Source organism: Homo sapiens, chromosome 11 (genome assembly GCF_000001405.40).
Source record: "Homo sapiens chromosome 11, GRCh38.p14 Primary Assembly".
Taxonomy (NCBI): Eukaryota; Metazoa; Chordata; class Mammalia; order Primates; family Hominidae; genus Homo; species Homo sapiens.
Window position 1 is genome coordinate 46823879 of NC_000011.10, and position 26848 is coordinate 46850726.

The 26848-nt window shown below is 42.3% G+C and overlaps 1 protein-coding gene and 1 long non-coding RNA gene across 3 annotated transcripts in view, besides 7 other annotated features; one reads left to right on the plus strand and one right to left on the minus strand.

Annotated features, from left to right (window-relative positions):
• CKAP5 (cytoskeleton associated protein 5) overlaps positions 1 to 22402 on the minus strand; it is a 103233-nt gene extending 80831 nt beyond the window's left edge. For both annotated transcript variants that reach the window (NM_014756.4, NM_001008938.4), the window contains exon 1: positions 22342 to 22402. The gene's annotated coding sequence lies outside the window, so the exon portion shown is untranslated. The remainder of the gene's footprint in view (positions 1 to 22341) is intronic.
• Positions 2307 to 2859: an enhancer, noted in NCBI's record as "H3K27ac-H3K4me1 hESC enhancer chr11:46847736-46848288 (GRCh37/hg19 assembly coordinates)". NCBI's record gives its function as "activates a minimal SCP1, AML or CMV promoter by ChIP-STARR-seq in naive H9 embryonic stem cells {active_cell/tissue: H9 hESC(naive)}" and the evidence as "EXISTENCE:reporter gene assay evidence [ECO:0000049][PMID:30033119]".
• Positions 2860 to 3410: an enhancer, noted in NCBI's record as "H3K27ac-H3K4me1 hESC enhancer chr11:46848289-46848839 (GRCh37/hg19 assembly coordinates)". NCBI's record gives its function as "activates a minimal SCP1, AML or CMV promoter by ChIP-STARR-seq in naive H9 embryonic stem cells {active_cell/tissue: H9 hESC(naive)}" and the evidence as "EXISTENCE:reporter gene assay evidence [ECO:0000049][PMID:30033119]".
• Positions 19681 to 20586: an enhancer, noted in NCBI's record as "H3K4me1 hESC enhancer chr11:46865110-46866015 (GRCh37/hg19 assembly coordinates)". NCBI's record gives its function as "activates a minimal SCP1, AML or CMV promoter by ChIP-STARR-seq in naive H9 embryonic stem cells {active_cell/tissue: H9 hESC(naive)}" and the evidence as "EXISTENCE:reporter gene assay evidence [ECO:0000049][PMID:30033119]".
• Positions 21645 to 22222: an enhancer, noted in NCBI's record as "NANOG-H3K27ac hESC enhancer chr11:46867074-46867651 (GRCh37/hg19 assembly coordinates)". NCBI's record gives its function as "activates a minimal SCP1, AML or CMV promoter by ChIP-STARR-seq in naive H9 embryonic stem cells {active_cell/tissue: H9 hESC(naive)}" and the evidence as "EXISTENCE:reporter gene assay evidence [ECO:0000049][PMID:30033119]".
• Positions 22057 to 22206: a silencer, noted in NCBI's record as "silent region_3315". NCBI's record gives its function as "represses an Ori minimal core promoter by ATAC-STARR-seq in GM12878 lymphoblastoid cells {active_cell/tissue: GM12878}" and the evidence as "EXISTENCE:reporter gene assay evidence [ECO:0000049][PMID:35858748]".
• Positions 22387 to 22466: a silencer, noted in NCBI's record as "silent region_3316". NCBI's record gives its function as "represses an Ori minimal core promoter by ATAC-STARR-seq in GM12878 lymphoblastoid cells {active_cell/tissue: GM12878}" and the evidence as "EXISTENCE:reporter gene assay evidence [ECO:0000049][PMID:35858748]".
• The window catches only part of LRP4-AS1 (LRP4 antisense RNA 1), a 28006-nt gene continuing 23690 nt past the window's right edge, over positions 22533 to 26848 (plus strand). Inside the window, exons 1-2 of the long non-coding RNA NR_038909.1 lie at positions 22533 to 22621; positions 22732 to 22839. This is a non-coding gene — a long non-coding RNA (LRP4 antisense RNA 1). The remainder of the gene's footprint in view (positions 22622 to 22731; positions 22840 to 26848) is intronic.
• Positions 22677 to 22796: an enhancer, noted in NCBI's record as "active region_4685". NCBI's record gives its function as "activates an Ori minimal core promoter by ATAC-STARR-seq in GM12878 lymphoblastoid cells {active_cell/tissue: GM12878}" and the evidence as "EXISTENCE:reporter gene assay evidence [ECO:0000049][PMID:35858748]".

The following is a 26848-nucleotide window of genomic DNA, read 5'->3' on the forward strand; positions in this document are numbered from 1 at the left end:
TAATTCTCCATCCCTAGTTCTGGCCTGACATAAAATATGTTTTCAATAAATATTTGTTTATTGAATATATACTCTGGTAATATCTATTCTGAATCAGGCATGGTGCAAAGTACTTTTTAAACACGCTAATTCACTTTATACTGACATCAACTATGTGAAGGAAAGATATTCTCATTTTACACACTAGCTTCACAAATATTAAGTAACCTGCCAAAACAACAAAACTGGTAAGCAATGAAATTAAACTAAGATTCATAGTCTATGCTTCTTCCTTTACATTTTGTTCCCTCCCATGGCAAAGAAGAAAATGTCCCAGAGAAAGATGGAATTGTAAAAGTTTATTAGGATATGTGGAACTTTCATTAAGATTTTTCTTCAAAATCCCTAGGATTGCCATGAAACAGCAGCAGTGTAATTTAAAGGAGTCAGGAGAATCTGCAGGAACTCAAATACACCAATGATGGGAGACAGAATAGTTTAACAGTCTGGAAAACAGTATGGCATTATCAGATACACATGCCCTACCACCCAGCAACTCCATTCCTAGGTGTATAGCCTAGAAACTGATGCAAATTACACCAGAAGACCTATATAGGGATAGTCATAGCAATGTTGTTCATAGTAGTCAAAAGCTGGAAACAGTTCACATGTTCATCAAACTGTGCTTTTCAAACTCAGGACCAGTCTTCCCCCTACCACCCCCACCAACTGAATACTAGTATGTCTGTAAAATACAATAAAAATTATTATACCTCTGTATTTTTTAAGTTGAATGCCAAATGGTCCAGCTGCTGTGAATGCAAAATGGTCTAGCTGCTGTGTAAAACCATTTGGAAGTTTCTCAAAAAGTTAAAAGTATCATATAGGGATGAGCAGACTGATCTGGATTTTATAAACAGATATAAGAACCAAGTTTTTGCTACACAGTAGAGTTTGATGCCTAAAGAGCAAATAAAATTGCCAACAAAGAGAAGCATTAAGAAGATTAATTTGAACTATACATAATGCTTGCTGTGGTTTATTTGATCTAGTCCCTAGTAAAGACACATATTCAGAAATTTCAATTATTCAGAGCTCTCAGATTTTATCCCAGTCTAAAACTGAGGCAAAGACAAGTAGGTCAGCTAAAGTAAGTATGTTTTACAGATATATTATAATCATATACCACTGATCTAAAAATGTCTTCCTAAGAGCTCAAATACCATATAGTCCATGCTATTGCTGAAAAGGTTTAGGCATAATTGTTTATTTTTAGACTAGAGGTTAAGAAATGTTTTCAAGGTTATACATGAAGGCAGAACTTAGAATAAATTCCAAATTGTCTGATTTTTCAGTTTAGTGTTCAAATAAATAACAAATTTCCTATTAAATATGCACTATATCCCATCATAAAAGAGACCCCAAAATCTGTGCATTTTCTCATTAACCAACCATTTAAAAGGGACAGAGAGATTAAGTCATGAGTAATACTAGAGCTGGGCCTAGAACCTATGTCTCCTACTTCTCAGTCTGTCTCTCTTCCCTACAACCCATGGGCCCAAGTGTGGTGTCTTTTTAGTTTAAATTCCTGTATTTTGATAGTCTATAAGAGTAATTACAGAGCTACTGTACAGATTATTTTCTCTTCTACTTAGAGAAAAACCACTGGCAGTATGACTTTTTTATGGCAAATTCCCAAGCTCTTGACCTACAAAAGCTCTTCACTATCACAATACAAGAGATCTGAATTTGATTACCATTCCTGGACTCTCACCTCTGGCTAAGGAGATGCTATTGCAGAAGCACAGAATGATTTTAACAGAAGTTTGAGAAAAACTTCTGCTCCATCAAAAAGCAACCCATTTGAATGACCACTGAGTGTGATGATAGGCTCATAAAAAAAAAAAAAGAAATTATTTTTTTAAAAAAGCAATGCATACACATGCCCAGAAATCTACTCAAACCATGTCTAGGAAGGACAACTGGATTAAAGAAACACAACAACTATGTAACTGTCATAGAAAACTTAAGATTTTTATTATTTAACCAAAATCTGACAAAATCCCATCTCTGAGTAGCAGGTGGCAAAAATGACAACACTTTCCCTCAAATTAAAAAAAAAACTCACTGTCTCCAGGTATTTCCCATTAACAAGGACAAGTGTTATCCTCTTGCCGGAGTATTCTGCATTACCAGGCGGCCAGAAATCTGAACAGTTTTCTAGCAGATTATCTCAAACTTTGGTGTGTTTGCTTTCCTAATCTTGGGACAGTGGCGTCCCACAAATTCCTTCAGAGATGGAGAGGGGTAAAGAGCTGTCTCTTTCACATTGTGCTCTTTATATCAGGAGGAAAGGTTAACTGGACTCTTCCTAAGAGATGTTCACTGTCAACATATCCAAAAGGGGTACGGGATACCACCAACACAGGCCTCTGGAGAGACAGCTAAACCTGGCTGTGAATTAGGACAACTTGGAGTTACTGCTCGACTGTACCAAGGTAGCTGAAAACCTAATGCTTACTCATCCCAAAGCTACCAAGGTCTTCAAATACCAGGGTAAGGATCCAAGGCCCAGAGAGAGAGATTCAGCTCCACCCATTCAGCTCAAATGGGTTATACTCTGGTAAAAGCAACCCTCTCCTCACCCCAAGTAAGAACCAGGTGGGGGCAAAGCCAGGTCGTGGGCACTGCTCACCCACTGCATGCCCAAACAAGCACCCTACGGCTGCTGTCACCACCCAGAAGTAGAGCAGATACCCTGGCTTTAGCTCACTGGAGCCGGCATTGTTTACGCTCTTTCGCCGCCTTAGCCTCTGATAGGCCAGCAAAGTCCCCAGTACTGTCCACCAGGACTTGCAGCACGGTCGCGGGATGCTTGCCCTTTGCCCGTGGTTTGACACTTACGCTCCCCGGGCAGGGAGAGGTCAGGGAAGCTAAGGTCCGAGCAGGATCAGCAGGAATACCCGGCAGGCGGCGGCGGCGGCGGCAGCAGCATTGGTGCTGCGGTCCGCTGGGAAACGCCTCCTCCGAGGGCGGGGCCCGGAGCGCCACTGTCAGAGTGCCCGCCCCACCCTCAGCTCCCCTCTCCGCACACTCTGAAAGCTTAAAGGGGCCGCAGTGTATCTTCGCCCAGAGGTTTGCAGGCCTCAGGCGCTGCTTCTAGGTCCTAGGCTTTCCCAGGCAAGAGGCAAATGATGGACCAACTAGGAAGACTACTGCAGTTGGGTGGACCTCTTTTTTTGGTAGTATTACACGTAATATTCCAGAAACAAAGGAGATGACCAGTTCCCACTATCACAATCCTAATCCCTCCTCCAAGGGTGAAAAAAATTACTGCAGGTAACAGCCAAAGCATCAAGGTAGATACATAGCCCCTCATTATATGTAAGCTGCTTACTTCATTAACCTCCTTTGGACTCGAGCAGTTCTTCAAATGGCAACTCAAAGGCCTGGAAAAGATCCTACAATGCTCCACCTCACCTTTTCACGGAATTCGTTCTTTACAAAACTGGAGGAATCCTGGACAATGATACAAGATGGGCAGGAAGGTAATAGAAGGTGAAATAGAAAAATACCAGCCTGGGCAACAAAGTGAGACCCCATCTCTACAAAAAATAAAAAATTAGCTGGGCATGGTGGTACAAGACTAGTCCCAGCTACTCCGGAGGCTGAGGTGGGAGGATCCTGAGCCCAGGACTAGGCTGCAGTGAGCCAGACTGCACCACAGCACTCCACCCTGAACAACTAACCAAAACCATACCTCTATAAAAGAAAAAAAGAAAAATAACCTTCCCCATCTTGTGTGTAAAATGTGATCTTTCAAAAATTGACCTAAAAGTCAACGTAAATAAATGTACAAGTCTATGTAAGTAATCTTGCATGCCAATACAATTGTAATGTGCAATCATCTAATTTAATATGAAGAGTTCTTAAGAAAATTGTAGTAGAAACGGCATTAATATTTCAAGGAGTTAAGTCCTAGTCTCTGAGATCTCCAAAGGTTAGCAACTAGTTTTAATTTTCTTTTTGTAGGAGGAGTTTGTCCTGAATCCTAGTTTACAAGGTTTGACTGCATTTTGTGTCTCCCATCATACCAACAGGAAAGATATGTGCTTTTTTTAAGTCCATATTACTCCACCTAATTTAGATGAATCAACACACCTCCTTAAAGCCTTGGGCCATCATCAGATCAGTACAGGAATCAATGTAGTAAGCTTAAAGACCATTTGTAAGTAACCCAATTTCTCCTATCCACAACAGGAATAAAGCAGAAATTTAAGAATCCAAAGAACAGTTATGAAGATTGCTCCACCAGGGAGCAGACTCAGGTTACTCTTATTCTGAAGGTTTTAGAGAACCCTAAGCTAAAGTTGCCAAGTATCTTTTCCTTACTTGGGTGGGGGCGGGGTAGATAAATAAATAAAGTTGCCAAGTAAAAAATGGATTCAGATTAAAACAGTCTGATTTTTGAACTGCCAAGACAGTCTCATTCTACAATGCATTTAACTGTAAAGAATACCTCTGAATTAGGTAATTAAGACCTTCATTCATTATATTCCCATCAAGCTTAACTGTTCTGAGGGTAATGGTTTGCAGATCAGCCTTTCTCATCAGATTGTGAGTTCCTCAAGGGCAAGGGCTGGAATGTATCTTAATTATCTTTTTCTTCCAATGTGTGATACAAAATAAGTACCCAACAAATATTTATCACAAGAGGTATGACCAACATTTTCTGTTACATAGCATTCTAGTGACATAGGACTTCAGTTAACTGCAATAAACATAGTACAATGAGTGTATGTGTGTATGCACACACAAATGGATAATACCCTGTGCTGTGCTTATGAGCGAATTAAACATTTTAAAAATTAGAGAAAAAAATCTACTAACAGTCACAAAAAAAGTCAAATACTGTATGAACCCACTTTTATGAGGTATGCAGTCAAATTCATGAATTCATAGAACCAGAAAGTAGAATGGTAGTAACCAAAGATGGGGTGGGGGTGTGGCTTGGGAGGGGGATAAGAGAAATATTTAGATACAGAGTTTCAGATTAGCAAGATGAGAAAGTTCTGGAGATCTGTTTCATAACGATGTGAATATACTTAACACTATTGAACTGTACACTTAAAAATGGTTAAGATGGTAAATTTTATACTATTGTTTTTTACCATACACAAAAAATGAGACATTCGTCTATACAAAAATTGCTTTGCAAATATTTAAAGTAAACAAAAGATGATATGGAAGACAGAAGTAAATATATAAATACAGTTGACCCTTGAACAACATGGATTTGAACTGCACGGGTTGACTTGCATGTGAATTTTCTTCTGCCCCTGTCACCCTTAAGACAGCAAGACCAACCCCTCCTCTTCCTCAGCCTATTCGACATGAGGATGACAAGGATGAAGACCTTTATGATGATCCACTTCCATTTAATGAATAGTAAATATATTTTCTACTTACTGGGCAATAAAGTCTTACTTTACTTAAAAGACAGTCTACTTACTGTCTCTAAAAATAAATACAAAAAATTATCTGGGCCTGGTGGCACATGCCTGTTAGTCCCAGCTACTCGGGAGGCTAAGGTAGAAGGATTGCCTGAGCCCAGAAAGAGTGAGCCAAGAGGGGACCACAACACTCCACCCTGAACGATGGAGCGAGAAAAAATATTTTTCCTCCTTCTGATTTTCTTAACATTTTCTTTTCTCTAGCTTACTTTACTGTAAGAATACAATATATAATACATATACAAAATATGTGTTAAACAATTATGTTATCAATAAGGCTTCTGGTCAACAGTAGGCTATTAGTAAAGTTTTGGGGGTGTCTAAAATTATATGTGAAGTTCCCACTGCACAGGGGGATCCCTAACGTTGGCATTGCTCAAGGGTCAAATGTGCCTATGTGGAAGAAATCCATTAAGTTTTAAGAAGAAATTTGCAAGACAGTATATGAAGTCTAATTCCTTTTTTGTATGTGTGTGTGTGTGTGTGTGTGTGTGTGTGTGTGTGTGTGTGTGTATCTCACATACACATTTACATATGCATTTGTGTAGGCTGATAATGACCCCCAAAGAAATCACGTTGTAATCCCTGGGACTTGTAAATGTTACTTTATTTGGAAAAAGGGTCTTTGCAGATGTGATTAAATTAAGGATCTTGAGATGGGGGGATTACCCTGGATTGTTTGGGTGGGTAAAGGCAATCACATATATCATTATGGGCAAGACGGAGGGAGATTTGACCCAATGGAGAAAGTGATATGAAGAGGGATCAGAGAAAGATTAGAATAGAGTAGGCCGGGCACGGTGGCTCACGCCTGCAATCCCAGAACTTTGGGAGTCCAAGGCAGGCAGATCACAAGGTCAGGAGGTCGAAACCATCCTGGCTAACACGGTGAAACCCCGTCTCTACTAAAAATACAAAAAATTAGCCGGGCGTGGTGGCAGGCACCTGTAGTCCCAGCTACTCGGGAGGCTGAGGCAAGAGAATGGCATGAACCTGGGAGGCAGAGCTTGCAGTGAGCCGAGATGGCACCACCGCACTCCAGCCTGGGCAACAGAGCAAGACTCCGTCTCAAAAAAAAAAAAAAAAAAAAAAAATTAGAATAGAGTAGAGAAAGATGGCCACAGGCCTAGGAGTGCCAGCAGCCACCAGAAGCTGGAAGAGGCAAGGAACAGATTCTTTCCTAGGGGCTCTGGAGGGAGTGTGGCCCTGCTGACTGACACCCTGATGTAGGTCCATAAGACTCATTTTGGATTTCTGGCCTCCATACTGTGAGAGAATAAATCCTGTTTTTTTAAGCCACCAAGTTTGTGGTCATTTGTTACAGCAGCCATAGAAAACTAGGACATCATTGTACATGTTTGAATGCACATAAACATTTTCTGGAAGGATCTGTAGAAAATTATTAACCATGGGCCGGGGTGGTGGCTCTTGCCTGTAATCCCAGCACTTTGGGAGGCCAAGGTGGGGGCGGATCACGAGGTCAGGAGATCGAGACCATCCTGGCTAACAGGATGAAACCATGTATCTACTAAAAATACAAAAAAATTAGCCGGGCATGGTGGCGGGTGCCTGTAGTCCCAGCTACTCGGGAGGCTGAGGCAGGAGAATGGCGTGAATCTGGGAGGCGGAGCTTGCAGTGAGCCGAGATCGCGTCACTGCACTCCAGGCTGGGCAACAAAGTGAGAATCAGTCTCAAAAAAGAAAAAAATTGTTAACCATGACTTCTGAGAGTGTGTCTAAGGGTTAAGCAAAGAAATTTTTTTGAAAAAACTTTTACTTTGAACTTTAATACCCATCCATGCCTTCTGATTTTTAATAATGAGCTTCAGCATCTTTTATAATAATGTTTTTGTATTTTTTATATTATTAAATTTTTTTCATTTACTTTTTCTTTATTTAACTCCCGCTTAGATGATAAATAATGCTTTTAAAAGCTTTAAAACTTTAAAATTCCCACTTAGAGGCTTGAAGTTGGATCATCTGCCTATACTCATCCCATAGGCTACACTTCACTCTCTCTCTTAACATTTTTTGTATACATGATATCTCCTTTGAAAGAAGGAACTGAGTCTTATTCATTATCCCAGCATTGCATAGTGCTTTGTGCTCTAGTGTAAAATTTCTAAAATGGCACCATTTCATCAAGTCACAGAAGTCTTTCTGTTTTTTGTTTTTTGAGACAGGGTATTGCTCCATTGCCCAGGCTGGAGTATGGTGGTGCAATAACTGCTCACTCTAGTCTCATCCTCCCAGCCTCATGTGAGCCTCCTGCCTCAGCCTCCTGAGTAGCTAGGACTACTGGGGCATGCACCACCACATCTGTCTAATTTTTAAATTTTTTTGTAGAGACAGGGTCTCACTATGTGGCCCAGGCTGGTCTCGAACTCCCAGGCTCAAGCAGTCCTCCTGCCTCAGCCTCCCAAAGAGTTGATATTACACTTGCGAGCCACCCCACCCAGTCAGAAGTCTTAAATATACAATAAACTTATCCTTTTTTTTTTTTTTTTTTTCTGAGACAGGGTCTTGCTTTGTTACTGAGGCTGGCGTGCAGTAGCAGGAACATGGCTCACTGCAGCCTCGACTTCCGGGGCTCTGGCAAAACTTCTGCCTCAGCATCTCATGTGGCTGGGACCACAGGTGTTTGCCACCATGCCCAACTTTTTTACTTTTTGTAGAGATGGGGTCTCACCACTTGCCCAGGCTGGTTTTGAACTCCTGGACTCAAGTGAACTGCCTGCCTCAGCCTCCCAAAGTGCTGGGATTACAGGCATGAACCACTGCGCCTGGTCTTATAAAGAAAATTTTGTAGAATGTGTATTTCAAATGTGTTGAGAAAACAATATATATTTAATAAAATTCTGAAGTAAACCCTTTTCAAAGTGAAAAAAATCACTCAGTAATATTATTTTGAAATTTTCTAAGATTTTTGCCACTATTTTCCTAGTTAGTTACTTTTTTATTATAAGATCCACTAAAAGAGGGTAATTTCATTTTTAGAATCTTTCACTTTGGCAAAGCCATGGCAGTAAAACAGTTGCTTGAAAGAAATCTTACTGTAGAAAGCTCTACTCTAGATTAAATTTAGTGCAAACCTGGAGTCATGTTGAGCTCTGGAGGTAGACAGATTGAGTTGTAAACCTTGCTCTGCCACAAACCAGCTGATCCTCAGTTTTATCAATCATCATAACAATACCATCTTCATGTTGCTCCCTATTTAACACACACTTCTTGAACACGTATTATGTGCCAGGCACTATCCTAAGCACTTCACATGTATTTACTCATTTAATCCTTAAAACCTTGAAGTTGATATTATTATCCCTATTTAATAATGAGGCAATTGAGGCAAACAGAGTAACTTGCCTAACATGACTCATCTAATCATTGTTGTAAAGATTAAATGAGATTTTGCCTTTTACATGTTAAGAATTCCCTCCATAGCCAGGTGTAGTGGCATGCGCCTGTAGTCTCAGTTACTCAAGAGGCTGAGGTGGGAGGACTGCTTGAACCCAGGAGGTTGAAACTATAGTAAGCCATGATTGAGCCACTGCACTGTGGCCTGGGTGACACAGCAAGAGTTTATCTCAAAAAAAAAAAAATTTTTTTTCCCACAAATATTCACATTATTCTCCTGTCCTGACAACTGTGCTTGTCAGATAGTGTGAGGCTATTCGGTGTTAGATGCTCATCTAGATGCTGAGTATAGGCTGTGCACCACAATAGCCCTGAGGCAAAGTACAATAAGAGAGTATGACGGAGGAATCTAATCTAGACTGGGGCAGCGGGGTTCAGGGAAGGTCTCCCTGTGAAAGTGATACTCAGGCTGAAAACTAAATGAAATTAATAGGGGTTATCCAAGCAAAGGCAAAAAGTAGGGACAACAGAGAATGTTTCAGGCATGTGTGTGGATCTCTAAAAGATGCAGGCAAGAGTAAAGAACAAAAATATGACCCATGTGACCAAATAAGAGAAAGGCTGATTGGAAAGGGTCAAATTAAACAAATCCAGTGGATTTTATGCAAGTAAGTAGTAGTATTAACAGATTTCATGGCAAACACCAAGCACTCAGTAAACCACAGCTATCATTACTATATTATTGTTATTATTATTAATTTTTTTTTTGTTTTGAGACGGAGTCTGGCTCTGTCGCCCAGGCTGGAGTGCACTGGCGGATCTCGGCTCACTGCAAGCTCTGCCTCCCGGGTTCACGCCATTCTCCTGCCTCAGCCTCCCAAGTAGCTGGGACTACAGGCGTCTGCCACCATGCCCGGCTAATTTTTGTATTTTTAGTAAAGATGGGGTTTCACCGTGCTAGCCAGGATGGGCTTAATCTCCTGACCTTGTGATCCGCCCGCCTCGTCCTCCCAAACTGCTGGGATTACAGGTGTGAGCCACTGGGCCCAGCTAAGTAAGTAGTAGTATTAACAGATTTCATGGCAAATACCAAGCACTCAGTAAACCACAGCTATCATTACTATATTATTATTATATTATTATTATTATCATCATCATTATTGAGATGGAGTTTTGCTCTTGTTGCCCAGGCTGGAGTGCAATGGCACAATCTTGGCTCACTGCAACCTCTGCCTCCTGGGTTCAAGTGATTTTCCTGCCTCAGCCTCCTGAGTAGCTGGGATTACAGGCGTGTGCCACCACGTCCAGCTAATTTTGATATTATTAGTAGAGATGGTGTTTCACCATGTTGGCCAGGCTGGTCCTGAAAGCCTAACCTCAGGTGATCCACCCGGCTTGGCCTTTTACTATATCATTATAAGCATCATCCCAGTGTCATTGAGAGATTTTAGGTTGATTTCAGACTTAAACAAACCTATATTTCAGTCCTTTGATATAAGAGTGGGCTAACTTGGCCTGGTGCGGTGGCTCACACTTGTAATCCCAGCACTTTGGGAGGCCAAGACGGGCAGATCACTTGAGATCAGGAGTTCAAAACCAGCCTGGCCAACATAGTGAAACCCTATCTCTACTAAAAATACAAAAATTAGCCAGGCATGGTGGTACATGCCTGCAGTCCCAGCTACTGAGAAGACTGAGGCAGGAGAAACGCTTGAACCTGGGAGGCGGTGGTTGCAGTGAGCTGAGATTGCACCACCGCACTCCAGCCTGGGCAACAAGAGCAAAACTCCATCTCAAAAAAAAAAAAAAAAAAAAAAAGAGAAGCCTAAGTCGGGTTACAGCCCTTAGGACCAAGTAAGGCAAGTCCTCTCTGGTCTAAAACAAACTGCTTCTCTGGGTGTACAAGCAATCTATTCCTTTTCATCCTATAGAAAGCAGATTCACTATTAAAAAATTATATGCTATTTGGTGATATTCAAGGGGACTATCCATAGGTTTGGAGGAATCTCCCATATTAAACATTGCTCAAAATTTGTAGGCAGCCCTCTAAAGCATAAAAATATTTTTATGTACTGGATAGAGATTTTTCTTTTCTTTTTTAGACAGGGTCTCACTCTGTCGTCTGGGCTGGAATACAGTGGCACAAACATGGCTCACTGCTGCCTCCACCTCCCAGGCCCAAGTAATCCTCCCACCTCTGCCTCCCAAGTAGCTGGGCCACAGGCATGCACCACCACTCCCAGCTAATTTTTTTTTTTTTTCCTAGATATGAGGTCTGTCTATGTTGCTCAGGCTGGCTTTATATTTTACAGCTTTCGTTTCGCGACCTTTGTGATCAAGCTAACACTTCTAGTTATCTTGTAGCAGTGCCTTCTTTCTAATTTAGCAATTGATTTAAAGAACCAAGCAGGCTGAAATTGTGCATAGAAGAGTGAATAGAATCTGTTTGAGAGAAGTCAATAAAATAAAATATCAACTAAAAAAATAAAAATAAAGTATAAATGAATAATCATCCACCATTATCCTTTAAAATACATATATATATTACCTGGCTGTTTTGGCTGAGAAGGCCTAGAAACACTGACACCCCACTAGCAAGGAGCAGACGGCAGAGTATCCAGATCTCGGTTTCTAAATACCAAGCAAAAGGAACCAGAAATCTTTGGAGAAATGTCTAATTCTAGGGTTAGAGCAGAGAAAATAAAAGATGAGCCTGGAGCATATTAAAGTACCAGAAAATAAGAAAGTGTTCAAAAAGAAAAAAAAAATTAAAAAGATGGGGGCATGTCAAAGGGACACAGGAGCCAACCAAAAAGAGCTCCCAACAGTCAAAGCTGGAATTATTCGACGGAAAAAAATAGATTATAAAATCTCAAAGTACAGAATAAATATACACAAGCCAATACACACTCACACATACACACTAGTCCATAAGATACAAACAGTGGAATAAAGCAATAAATGGGTGAAAAGAGACAAATCTTCCTTACAAAATTCCGAATATATGTAGATACCCTTAACTCCGGGAAGTGGAATCTAATCCCTTCACCCACTTTGGGGGTGGGCTAGACCTGGCTACTCATTTTCATAAGAATAGCTATAGAAAGGGAAAAATACTAACTTTAATACTTAACCTAGCAAACACTAACTTAATCAAGTGATCATGGTTAATATCACTAATGATGTCACATGGATATCACAAAACCCCTGATATGATATGGTATTCTATGGTATTCTTTCCAAAAACACGTAATTCTTGACTAATCATGAGAAAAATATCAGACAAAGACAAAGAGAAGGGCAGTCTACAAAACAACTGACTAGTACTCCTCAAAATGGTCATGGTCATGAAAACAAGGAAGGACTGAGAAATTGCCAAAGACCAGAGAAGGCTAATAGAGATGACCACGAAGTGCAATATGTTACCCTGAATTGGATCCTGAAACAGAATGGGCACATGAATAGAAAAACTGTTGAAACACAAACAGAATCTGGAGTTTGTTTAAACGATGTTAATAACAGGGCACACTGGGTGAGAGGTATGCAGGAATCCTACACATCATCTTTGCAACTTTTCTGTTGGAACAATCTATAATTATTCCAAAATAAAGTTAATTTTTAAAAAGTTTCCTCTTAAAAAACTAACATTTATTTTCAAAAAAGGTAATGTCGTGAAAACGAATAATTTTAAAAAGTGAGAACACTAGGTCAGGCACAGTGGCTCAAACCTATAATCCTAGCATTTCAGGAGGCTGAGATGGGAGGATTGCTTGAGGCCAGGAGTTTGAGACCAGCCTGGTCAACACAGTGAGACCCCATCTCTTTAAAATAATAATAATAATAAAGTGGGGACACTACATACCTACCAGAAGGGCTAAAATCCAAAAACCAGATAGAACTAAGTGCTGTTAAGAACGTGGAGCAAGAGGAACTCTCATTCATTGCTAATAGGAATGCAAAATGGTACAGCCACTCTGGAATAGAGTTTGGCAGTTTCTTACAAAACTATAACTAGTCTTACCATATGATCCAGCAACCTGCTTCTAGGTATTTATCCAACTGAATTAAAAATTTATGTCAGCTGGGCACAGTGGGTTGTACTGTTAATCCCAGCACTTTTGGGAGGCCAAGGCAGGAGTTCGAGACTTTTATGACATAAAGAGTGAACTTTAATGTATGCAAATTTTAAAAAGTCATTTAGGAGACTGGGAGATTGCAGAAAAGAATGAAGACTATGACAAGGGAATCTATATTACAGATGTGTGAAACAACTTCACCAAAGGGGGTGGGAAAAAGGTTCTGACCTAAGTAGCTTTGGTAATGAGTGGAGTCTGAAAGATTAAGGGCAAAAGGAACTGCACAGAAGTATGTACTCTAGTTGATAAAGTTTTTTTCATGGAGTATGGGTTAGCAATTCTGATACTGCTATCCATGTATGTATATCCATATATAATGGAACTGGACAATTAAATAAATGGATGGTGGAAATTAGGTTTTTCACTATTGTGAATGGAAATTCAAAGATCAGCAAGGGGAGGAGGCTAGAATGATCTATGTGATAATGGATCAGAATTGGAGACACCAGTAGGAACTCATGTTTTTCCCCCCCGCCCATACTACTGAAAGTGATCTATGGAACTCGTTTAACTTAATATAGACACAGATGGCTACATAGAGAAATATTTATAGATATGTCTATATACATGGGGTTAGCATACATTCATATATTTCTTTGCTCTAACAGTTGAAAGGACCTAAAAGAAATGACACCCCAGTAGCAAAGAGAACACTCAGTACCCAGGTCTTGTTTCTAATAGCATTCTCCAATAAGGGAACCAGGGCACCTTGGGGAAATGGCTGATTCTAGCACTGGGACAAGAAATACACAAGATGAGCCTGGAACATTTCCAGATAGTAAGGAAGTACTCAAAGATCAATACAAATACGCGCACACACACACACATGTATGTTAAAGGAATACAGGAAGCTCCCAAAGGACAAAGCTGGAACAACCTGAACAACAAAATAATGTAATATTGGAGTGTAACCTAAAATATAAAATAAATATACTTGAGTCCACACTATTATCAGTAAATACTTGACTAAACTAATAAATGGGAAAGGAGAGACAAGAATTTCAAATAAATTAAGTAGGTACTCCACCCTAAGATCAAGGAACTCCCCATTCCTTAAGTGTGGGCTGCAAACAGTGACTTCCCTTCAAAGAATACAGTATAGAAAAGGAGGGGAAAAAAAAGTAAATTCACTGTAGAAACCTCACAAACACTATTTCAGGTCAATATGAACAGTCAAGGTCAATATTAAGTCATAAATCATGTTGATAGCATGTACCCTTGATATGATGTGATGAAAATGGCACTTTACCTCTGTGGTCTTCCTGCCCAAAACCTGTAACTCCAGTCTAATGAGAAAAACATCAGACAAATTCCAATAGAAGGACATCTTACAATGTATTTGACTAGTACCTCTCAAAACAGATTAAAATTTTTTTAAAAAATTCAGATGTATAATTTTTCTAGCTTTCTTAAAGACTTTCTGAACTAGTCTAAAATAATTTTAAGACTAATTGAGACTGTTAAGATACTGCTTACACCCAAAAACACAGGAACAAGCCTGGTGCAGTGGCTCACACCAGTAATCCCAGCACTTTGGATGCTGGAGCGAGAGGATTGTTTGAGGCCAGGAGTTCAAGACCAGCTTAGGCAACATACTGAGACTGTGTCTCCACAAAAAGAAAAAAATGACAGCCAGACACGGTGGCTCACGCCTGTAATCCTAGCACTTTAGCACTTTGGGAGGCCGAGGCAGGCAGATCACTTGAGTCCAAGAGTTCAAGACCATCCTGGGCAACATAGTAATACCTTGCCTCTTCAAAAAAAAAAAAAAAAAAAAAAAAAAAAATTAGCCGGGTGTGGTGGCACTCGCCTGTAGTCCCAGCCACTAGAGGCTGAGGTGAGAGGATCCCTTGAGCCCGGGAGGTGAAGGTTGCAGTAAGCAGAGATCAGGCCAACACACTCCAGCCTAGGAGACAGAGTGGGACCCCATCTCAAAAAAAAAAAAAAAAAAAAAAAAAAATTGCTGAGCCACCATTGTCGCAACATTTTTAGAATATAAAAATAAAAAAAAATAAATAAAGACACAGAAACACAGCCAACTGAATAGTCAGATACTGTTTTTATCACTTTTTTGTTCAGAGAAGATGATGCCAGTTTTGGCCAATTTTGTTCAACAAATATTTTTGACCACCTAGTTTGTTGCAGGCATTGTTGAGTCACTGAGGTAACCTCAAAGGAAAAAAAAAATCTATGTTCTGCTTTCATTTTTATGAGAAAATCTAACAATATATAGACAAACAATAAACAATTACATAACAATATATGCTATGAAGTAAATAAGGAAAAGTGAAGTAAAAGTGACCAAGAGGGCTCCTCTAATTCAGAGCTCAGAAAAGTGTCTCTTTAAGGAGATGACATTTAAGTTGAAGCCTGAGAGTGCCAGTAATACAGGCTGGGGGTAGGGGTAGAGTGAAGTGAGAAGTTCCAGAACAGAATGCAAAGACCGAAAAGAATAAGCGTAATGTGTTGGAGTTATACACATCAAGTAGGTAGAGTAACTGCCCTGATAGAAATGAGCTAAGTAATGTATTCTAAACTCCAGAGGCAAGAATAGGAAAATCATTTAAAAACCTTAAAACTCTCCAACATTGACTACCAAGAATCCTAATTAGATTAAGAACTCAATTTTTATGCGTCCCTTTAGCTACCCACCGCCACCACTGTCACAGTTGTCCATCTTCCATATGGTAAATGCCATCTTTCCTCTAAAAACTATCATGCCTGTCATTCATATTTCATCACATCTCCGATAGAAGTACTTTTTTAAAAGGGGCTGGGGGAATTCTACCCAGAAATTGCTCCTGAATTCTCCTACAGATCCCTACTTCACGTAGTACAATCATAGGTTAAGAGCAAAGGCCCTGGAGACAGACTGACTTGGGTTTGAATTCAGATTCTATCACTTAGTTCTATGATTTTGAGCATGTTGCACAGCCTTTTAAAGACTCAGTTTCCTCATCTGTAAAACATTGTGAGGATAAAAAAAGATAAAATGTAGCGGGACATGTTGGCTCATGCTTGTAACCCCAGCAATTTGGGAGGGTAAGGAGGGCAGATTGCTTAAGCCCAGGAGTTTGAGACCAGCCTGAGTAACATGGCAAAACCCCATCTCTACAAAAAATACAAAAATTAGCATGTGCCTGTAGGCCCACCTACTTGGGAGGCTGAGGTGGGAGGACAGATTGAGCCCAGGAGGTTGAGTCTACAGTGAGCCATGATCACACCACTACACTCCAGCCTGGGCGACAGAGTGAGATCCTGTCTCAAAAAAATTAATTAATTAATTAATTAAACAAAATGTGGGACCCAGTAGGCATTCAATACATGTTAGCTACTGCTAGTAAAAGTATCTGGGCATGTATTTTATTCAAGGACCAGAGCTGACCCCAGAGGGATTACAGAAACTATAATTTGCTACAGTAAATTGTTTGACAGATAAAACTGTCAAACTCCCTTAGGTCAGGGCCTTTGTCTTTTTCTGGTTCACCAGTGTATTCCCTGAATCTAGAACAATGTGTGACAGACATTAAGCATCAATCTCAATATCTGTTCAATGAATGAATAAGACCCCATTAAAGGAGCATAAGAGAGCCTGGCTTTACCTTAACATACTCATTCCCTGTCAAAATTTTTAACACTTATCCTAAGGCACTGTTAAAGTTGTTTATTATTTTTAATTGCTTACCAAAAACCTAGAACAGTGTTCATAATATTAAGGTACTCAAATTTATTGCAATTAAAACTTTGCTGCTGGAGAAGCTGAGAGCTGAACACATGGTGGTCCCTGGAGCGTGGTGTGCCCAGAGAGGGCATGGAAGCTCCATGCCTCTTCCCCTATACCTCACCCTATATAGCTCTTTGTATCCTTTGCAATATCCTTTATAATAAACTGGCTGGAAAATGTGTTTTCCTGAGTTCTATGAACAGGTCTAGCAAATTAATCAAACCCAAGGCAGGGAATGGGGGGCGGTATTAGGAATGCCCATTTTTATAGTCAGCCTACAGAAGCACAGGTAAAAAAAAACCTGGGGCTTCAGATTGGCATCTGAGTTGGGGGCAGTCTTCTGGGACTAAACCCTCAACCTGTGGGATCTGACACTACCTCCAGATAGAAAGTGTCAGAATTGGCCAGGTGAGGTGGCTCATGCCTGTAATCCCAGCACTTTGGGAGGCTGAGGCGGGCGGATCACTTGAGGCCAGGAGTTCAAGACCAGCCTGGCCAAAATGGAGAAACCCCGTCTCTACTAAAAATACAAAAAATTAGATGGGTGTTGTGGTGGGTTCTTGTAATCCCAGCTACTCGGGAGGCTGAGGAAGGAGAATCTCTTGAACCCGGGAGACAGAGGTTGCAGTCAGCCAAGACTGCGCCACCGCACTCCAGCCTGGGCAACAGAGCAATTCTGTCTCAAAAAAAAAAAAAAAGGTGTCAGAATTGAACTGAATTAGAGGACACACAGCTAGTGTCCACTGCTGAAGAACTACTTGCTTGGTGTGTGGGGAAAAAAATCTCACACATCTGAGGTCACAGAAGTTTTCTGTATTGTGAGAGTATAAGATAAACTTATTAAAGTTTCTTATTCTATATTCTCAGAATTGGCGTCAGAATTGGGATTTGCTAGAATGACTTGGCTCACAGACACATATGGTTTGGGAAGAAAAAGGATAAAAGGATAGGGATAAAGAACTTTGATTCTTAGGTGGCCAAGTGGTCACCCATGGTAAAGAGCTGAAGCTGTGCTGTCATCAATTACTAAAGGTAAAAGTTATCCATGGAATCCAGAGATGGATCCAACTGCCTGGGAGTTGGTTCACAGGATGCACAAGGAAATGCAAACTAGTATTAAAAAAGTGATATGCTGGCTCGGCACGGTGGCTCACGCCTGTAATCCCAGCACTTTGGGAGGCCAAGGCAGGAGGATCACGAGGTTAGGAGATTGAGACCATCTGGCTAACAGTGAAACTCCATCTCTACTAAAAATACAAAAAATTTAGGCGGGTGCTGTGGCTCACGCCTGTAATCCCAGCTACTCAGGAGGCTGAGGCAGGAGAATCACTTGAGCCTGGGAGGCAGAGGTTGCAGTGAGCCGAGATCGTGCCATTGCACTCCAGCCCTGGAGAAAGAGTAAGACTTTGGTTCAAAAAAAAAAAAAAAAAAAAAGCGAAATGTTAAATCCCTTGGTTATTGTTATCTGTAACAGCTAAAATGAAATTAAAAGAAAGTGGTGGGTTGGACCTTCCCGCTAGACCAAGCTCAGCTTTCAGTGAATGTGAGAGCTTAGGCCACTAACCTCAAAGCTGTCCCTCAAGGGAAAAATGTATGCCGGGACAACAGAAAGTGCTTCTAAGACCTCTGGTAACAAAGAAGGTGGTCTGCAAAAATCAAAGAACTATTGAAACCAGGGGGTACAATGTGAAGGAATTGTTTCACTTTGTACATTAGTATCATAAGCTTCCTGAAGGGGACAGTCTGATTCCATAAATGCCAAGTGGAACACCCCAGATCCAGATAGAGCCACTGATATACTTCATATGCAAGCCATGTGAAACTGGCTTTATGATGACTAGGACATTTACCCTCTGAATATGCCCACTACCCAGTCATGGTAAATGCTGTGGTTAAGGGTGACCCCTTAATGTGGATAACCTTACTGTTGCAAAATCAAAAGACAGTTCGAGAAGCCTTATCAAATGTGCTGTCTCAGTTTCCTCTCGTGGGTCTTACAGATGCTAATAAAACCATTAGGTTAAGAGAATGGTGAGACAGAGGGCAAATGGATTCAACCCGGAAGGTGGAAATTTTTAAATGGTTATTAAGAAGTAAGGTAGGCCGGGCGCGGTGGCTCACGCCTGTAATCCCAGCACTTTGGGAGGCCGAGGCGGGCGGATCACGAGGTCAGGAGATCGAGACCATCCTGGCTAACAAGGTGAAACCCCATCTCTACTGAAAATACAGAAAATTAGCCGGGCTTGGTAGCGGGCGCCTGTAGTCCCAGCTACTTGGGAGGCTGAGGCAGGAGAATGGCGTGAACCTGGGAGGCGGAGCTTGCAGTGAGCCGAGATCGCGCCACCGCACTCCAGCCTGGGTGACAGAGCAAGACTCCGTCTCAAAAAAAAAAAAAAAAAAAAAAAAAGAAGTAAGGTAGCAGGGTGTGGTGGCTCATGCCTATAATCCCAGCACTTTGGGAGGCCAAGACAGGATGATCACTTGAGCCCAGGAGTTCAAGACTAGCCTGGGAGCCAAAGGGAGACCCTGCTGGTCTCCCACCATTAAGGGGTTCCAAACAAGTTTGCTATATTTACCCCAGTTTGGAGAAATTGTAAGTCAGGAGGCAGATTACAATGAGAAATCTGATCTGAAATTGTGGAAACAATAGGTAGATGAGTCAAGATAAAGACTGGCAAATGGGCAAGGGTCTCTTGGCTCAACCACCTGCTGGGGACCCCAAGCCTTCTGTATATAAGTAGGTAAAATGGTCAGGGAGTGGCAAAAAGAAATTCCTGGGACTCCTTCATATGGAAGCCCCAGGTACAGTAGTACCAAGAGCCATTGGTGAAGCCCCGAACAGGGCTACAGTTAGATTAAGAGAAGGCCAGGCGTAGTGGTTCACGCCTGTAATCCCAGCATTTTGGGAGGCCGAGACAAAAGGATCCCTTGAGCCCAGGAGTTCGAGACCAGCCTGGGCAACAAGGCAAAACCCCATCGCTACAAAAACTAAAAAAATTTGCCAGGCATGGTGATGCACGTCTGTAGTCCCAGCTACCGGAAGGCTGAGATGGGAGGATCACCTGAGCCCTGGAGGTGGAGGCTGCAGTGACCCATAATAGCAGCACTGCACTCCAGCCAGGGCGAAAGAGTGAGATCTGATTGAAAAAAAAAAAAAAAAAAAATTGAGAGAACACAAAGATGTAAGTGTTGACAGAACTATGAAAGTTGGAAGCTGTGTCTCCTATATGTAAATGTGTTTTATTAGGAATGGATATTATGTCTGGCTGGGGAACACTTCCCCTACCTAGTATTGCAAAAACAAAACCTGTTGATAAAGTCCTAATAGAAGCTACAGTTAGAAAAGTGAGGGTTAGCCAGGTGTGGTGGCTCACACCTGTAATCCCAACACTTTGGGAAGCTGAGGCGGGTGGATCATTTGAGGTCAGGAGTTCGAGACCAGCCTGGCCAACATAGTGAAACCCTGTCTCTACTAAAAATACAAAAAATTAGCTGGGCATTGTGGTGCACACAAGAAGTCCCAGCTACTTGGGAGGCTGAGGTGGCAGAATCGCTTGAACCCAGGAGGCAGAGGTTGCAGTCAGCTGAGATCGCACCACTGCACTCTAGCCTGGGCGAAAGAGCAAGACTCTGTCTTAAAAAAAAAAAAAAAGGAAAAGAAAGTGAGTGTTGATGGAATTAAGATAAAAGTTTACAGGAGAGTTGGTATATTCAAACACACTTCATATGAGAGCATAAGAGCTCCACACCCTTCTCCCATACCTACAAGCCCTACGCCTCTCTTCATCTGTATGCTTTGTAGCATCCTTTACAATAAACCGTGAAGGTAAAAAACAAACAAACAAACAAACAAAAAACACCAAAAAAACAGGTGCTGCTAAAACTGAACTGTCAGTAGTAGAAGACTGCGATGGAATTACCACACCCACTGTTCATAATTCAAACATAATTCAAAACTGATCAAGACTTTAAAGTAATGGAGAATAAAGTAAAAGGCATGTTAATTGTTACGGAATACCTTTGCTTGCCATTGCCTCAGTGAACAGCCTTTTAAAAAATTTTTTTTCTTTTTTTTGAGACAGAGGGTCGCTCTGTCACCCAGGCTAGAGTGCAATGGCGGGATCTTGGCTCACTGCAACCTCTGTCTCCCGGGTTCAAATGATTCTCTTGCCTCGGCCTCCCGAGTAGCTAGGATTACAGGCGCCCGCCATCACGCCCAGCCATTTTTTGTATTTTTAGTAGAGAGAGAGAGAGAGAGACGGGGTTTCACCATGTTGGCCCGACTGGTCTCAAACTCCTGACCTCGTGATCCGCCCGCCTCGGCCTCCCAAAGTGTTGGGATTACAGGCGTCAGCCACCGCGCCCAGCCTAAAATCTTATTTAAAAATTTTTTTACATGAGTTTACCAACTAGATTTAACTTATGGTTGCAAAATAAATTGATTTCACCTTTATCTATATCATTAAATTTGGTAAAAGCATTACAGTTTGTCCAGTCACTTCAGAGAAGTCAAAGTCTTCTACAATTTCTTAAAGTTTCAAAAGATTCTTAGCTTAATTTATTGGCTCTTTAGGTCAAAAGAAGGACTTTTCAGGGTGATGAAAATGGAGGAAGGAGGAGCTCACCTTTCTAAAAATGAGTTTTCAATTACTATAATTATGCATAAGACAGGCAGCATTTCTGGGCCAAGATTTGATGCCTTGGTCCCATGAGAATTAAATTAGAGCCACGCATAAATTTGGGGCAAGTTCTGCAAAAACCACTTCAACCTCTATTGATGCTGAATAAAAAACTCATTGTTAAGATTCATCAACACGAATATATTTTCTAACACACACTAGCCACTCTGGCAACAACCCTTTCATCATTTTCTATCCAAGAAACACAACGGAATGCATTTCAATCCTGCTCAACAATTACCACGATTACAAGTAGAGGGGAGAGCTCAAAAGTAAGAATCTAGTTCACCGAGCCCGACCTTAAAGTAGCAAGGCCCAACCCACACTGCTGGCTATTGTATTGGTTCCCCAACACCTCCAGGGCTGGAAGGACACCAGAACGCTCCCGACACGTTGAGAGAGAGAAAGCCAGTCGTTAAGGGCGGGGTGGTGGATGATCGGAATCGTTCACATCGCAGCAAGCCAGCAGGGACACAGGTGTGCGGCCAGGCCCCGGTGCCGCTGTCCTTGCTCCAGGGCGACAAGGCCCTTCGCAACCACCACAGCCCTCGTAGGCGCTTACTTATTCATTCACTTGACAATTACGCGAGAGGCACTCTAGCAGGGCCGGCTCTCGGGGCCCCCGCCCTAGTCTTGGTAAATCGCTGCCGCCAGGCGCGGCCCTGCACCGCCCGCGCCCCGCGGACGCTGCCACCCGCGCCACGCTGCGGCGCGCTCTGGCCACCTGGAGCCCAACCCCGGCCTCCGCCGCACACGAGCGCCCACGCCCCCGGCCCTGCCCGCCGCAGGTCCCCCGGCCTCCGGCTCGCTTCGCCGCCTCAGACCTGCCGGGTTCGTGGGGCAAGTGGGGCGCGCGTCTGGAGACCTCCAGCCGCCCAGGATTCAGGGGCTCCTCTGCGCGCGCGATGCCTGCACTCGAGGGCCTCGCGGGTGGGGCAGGCCCACCGACCACTCACCTCAGCTGGGTCAGAACCAAGCGGCCTGCTCTAAGCCGTTTGAAACCGCTTGGGCCGCCGCACACCCCGCAGTGTCCTCGTTCTTTATTGGTCCTCGACGGACCGCCCATCGGACTTTTATTGGTCCATTTGAAAGGCCTGTGGGCACGCGCCGCCCGCAGCCTTAAAGGGGCCGCGCGCAGCCGTGTTTCCCTCTGGACCAGACGCCGCCTGCACGGGTGGGGACGCTGGTCGCTGCCGGGGGCAAGTCTGCCGACTCCAGAAAGAAAGGCGAAAGAATGTGTGTAGACCCGGGCATCCTTGGTCGTCAGCATGTTTGCTTTATTTAATTACAGATGTTCAGGCTGCTGTCAACACCCGACAATTTTTTTTGGTCATTTCATTCCCTAGAGATTGTGAAGCTAAGTGCTGTGAGGGAAACCAGAGGCAGCTGAGATGTCGTGGAAGTAACAGCGAATGAAGCCAGGATGCTGGATTCTGACCTTGGAACTGTTCTGAGTAAATCACTTTTCTCAGTAAATCTTCTGGAGTTGTTTCCTTATCTGTAAAATGGGATAACGATGTTTCCCTTACAATTTAATGGAGGAGTTAATATAACTAATAGAATGTCTGAGAAAAGCCTTTGTGAACTGTAACGCATCCTGCAAATGCTTAATATTCCCTTATAAAAACGAGAGGCTTGGTTAACATGATCTCCAGAATTTTAGCTTAGCTCTACATTCAGTGTTTCTGTGAATGAGTTCAGGTCCTTACTTCCAAGGAATTTGTAATCTACAGTGGTTGGAGGAATATAACATACAGACTAGTCACTAAAATTCAAAGCAGTGTAATAACTGTATAAATGAAAAGCTATAAATGCTTAGAGACAGGAGAAATTTGATGGGGGAGGATCTGTGAGGAAGATGAATTTTTAACCTAGGATTTAAAGAATGTGTAGATTCCCAACAGGCTAAAAGATGGAGAGAGGATGGATAAAAGTAAATGAAACAATTACATGTTTTTTCATTGTCAAGTTGGCAGAGATGAAAAAGTTCAACAGCCTTTGGTTGGTCAAGATTTGGAAAAACAGGCTGGGTGCAATGGCTTATGCCTGTAATCCTAGCGCTTTGGGAGGCCGAGGCAGGAGGATTGCTTGAGGCCAGGAGTTCAAGACCAACCTGGGTCTTGCTATCAAGACCCCATCTCTGTTTTTAAAAATATAAAGAGATTTGGAAAAATGGACACTCAAAGTCAATATTGGTAAGAGTATAATTGGTACAAACCTTTAGGAGGACAATTTGACAGTTACTAAAATGTACATAATCTAGTTCTGGCCCAGTAATCCACTATGAGGAATTTATCGTACAGATCTGTGCAAGTATGCAAAGAAAAATGTACAAGGATGTTTACTGCAATACTGCTTTTTTTTTTTTTTTTTTTGAGACAGTCTCGCTCTGTCGCCCAGGCTGGAGTGCAGTGGCGCAATCTCAGCTCACTGCAACCTCCGCCTCCCGTGTTCAAGCGATTCTCCTGCCTCAGCCTCCTGAGTAGCTGGGACTACAGGCACGTGCCATCACACCTGGCTAATTTTTTGTAGTTTTAGTAGAGACGGAGTTGCACTGTGTTAGCCAGGCTGGTCTTGATCTGCTGACCTCGTGATCCTCCCGCCTGGGCCTCCCAAAGTGCTGGGATTACAGGCGTGAGCCACTGCACCCGGCTTTTTTTTTTTTTTTTTCTGACAGAGTCTCTCTCATGTCACCCGGGCTGTAGTGCAATGGCGTGATCTTGGCTCACTGCAACCTCCATCTCCCGGGTTCAAGCAATTCTCCTGCCTCAGGCTCCCAAGTAGCTGGGATTACAGGCACCTGCCACCACGCCCGGCTAATTATTTTTTATTGTATTTTTAACAGAGATGGGGTTTCACCATGTTGGTCAAGCTGGTTTCAAACTCCTGACTTCAGGTCATCCACCTGCCTCAGCCTCCCAAAGTGCCGAGATTACAGGCGTGAGCCACTGTGCCCGGCCCTTTTTTTTTTTTCTTTTTTTTTCTTTTGAGATGAAGTCTCGCTCTCTCGCCCAGGCTGGAGTGCGATGGCACCATCTCAGCTCACTGCAACCTCCACCTCCCAGGATCAAGCGATTCTCCTATCTCAGCCTCCCAAGTGGCTGGGATTACAGGCATGTGCCACCAAGCCCAGCTAATTTTTTGTATTTTTGGTAGAGACGGGGTTTCACCTGTTGGCCAGGCTGGTCTTGAACTCCTGACCTCAAGTGATCCACCCGCCTCGGCCTCCCAAACTGTTGGGATTATAGCTGTGAGCCACTGTGCCCAGCCAGCACTGCTTAAGATAAAAATAAAATAAAATAAAAAAATAAATCTGGAGGCCAGGCATGGTGGCTCATGCCTGTAATCCCAGTGCTTTGGGAGGCTGAGGTGGAGGATTGCTGGAGTGTGGGAGGTCAAGGCTGCAGTGAGCTATGATCACGCCACTGTACTCCAGCCTGCGTGACAGAGTGAGACGCTGTCTCTAAAAAAAATAAAAAATCTGGAAATTACATGTTCATCAACAGGGAACCTTTTACATAAATTATGACATATCCATTCAATAGAACACTATGAAACTGTTAAAAAGAATGCGGTTAATCTATGTGCTGGAACAGAAACATGCACAAATTTTATTAATTGAAAAAAAGGCAAGTTGCAGAACTTGTGGAATGATTTTATTATATATGGTTATAAACGTATGTGTGTTTGAGGGCATGCCTGAAAATGGTTAGAACATTCCTGGAATTATAAGAAACTTAATAGGAGTGGGACTTGGGAGGGAAATGAATTTTTACTGTTAACGTGGTGTGTTTCTTTTTTCTTTCATAGAAGGAGCAGAGAGTAGTGGGGAAAGTGTGAGTCAGGGCGCAGAAACAGCAAAGTGCATCGTATGTATGGGACTGAACATGTGGGGTTGATTTTAGGACTGAAATTTTGTTGGGAAGTAGTGGAACACAAGATTGACACAGAAGGTTAAGAACAATTCTTTTTCTTTTTTTTTTGAGACGGAGTCTCACCTGTCGCCCAGGCTGGAGTGCAGTGGCGTGATCTCAGCTCACTGCCACCTCCACCTCCTGGGTTCAAGCAATTCTCCTGCCTCAGCCTCCCAAGTAGTTGGGACTACAGGCACAAGCCGCCATACCTGGCTGATTTTTTTGTATTTTAGCAGAGATGGGGTTTCACCTTGTTGCCCAGGCTGGTCGCAAACTCCTGAGCTCAGGCCATCCGCCCGCCTCAGCCTCCCAAAATGCTGGGATTACACATGTGAGCCACTGTGCCCGGCCAGGAATGATTCCTAAAGGATCTTGAATCCCAGGGTATGGAATTGGTACTTTATTAAGTAGATAATGGGGGGGCTATTAAAGGTACCTGAGCAAGAGGGTGGCAAAATCAGAGTTGTACTTTAGGAAAATTAATTAGCTTGATTGTCTAAAATGGTTTAGAGTTGGGAACCCAGCTAGGAGTATGATATGAGGTGTTAGCAGTGGAGAGGATGAGAGCAGATTCAAGAAAGAATGAAAGATTTGGCAACTGACTAGATTAGGTGCAAAGGCAAGGGTGGGTCCCATTTAGGGAGGTGAGTCAAAGAGAATTCCAGGATTTGATTGCCCAATGGAAGTAGGAAGTCAGGAGAAGCCAGTCTCAAGGGGAAGGTGAGGCATTTAAATTGCAACCTGTTCACTTTTAGGTACCAATAAGGCATTCTAATGGAATCATCTGAGTAGGCCTAGAAAATACACGATGGAAGCTGGAAGAATAGATGCAGAATCAATGATATAGATTTGGGAATCACATTGATAGAGTGAATGAGACTGCAGATTGGGGGATTGGAGAGAGTGAAAGGATGGCCAATGAAGACAGATCCACATGTAGGAGAAGAAGAAAGGAATGAAAGCAATATGGTCATGGTAACCTTGGATAAATTGGTGAGGATATACAGAAATAGTTTTCTTCAGTCATTGGTCATTGGCATATTTACTTTATTTAAATATTACCAGAAATAAACTGAAGATTACATTTAAGGAGAGGGTGTGATGGTAATCAGGAATTGGCTTAACAAAGGATGTTTGTGCAGTCCGGGTCCTGGAGAGTTTTAGAACAAGATGACAAAATCCCTTTTTGTCTTGGATGACTTAGGTGCAGCCCTACTTTAAGGTGAGTATTAGATGTCTGATGCTACTCATTTATTCATTCAACAAATATTTATCAGCACCTATTATGTGGAGGGACTCTTCTAGGCACTGCAATGATCAGTAGATAAAATAGACTCCCCAAAATTTCCTCCCTTTGTGGTGCTCACACTATAGTGAGGAAACGTAGACAATCAACACATAAATAAATTATATAGTATGTTATTAGACAATATGTCCAGTGGGAAAAGAAAAAGAATAAAACTAGGTAAAGGGATAGGGAAGTGGGGTTGGAAAGACCGTAATTTTATTTTATTTTTCAACTTCTATTTTAGAATCGAGGATACATGTG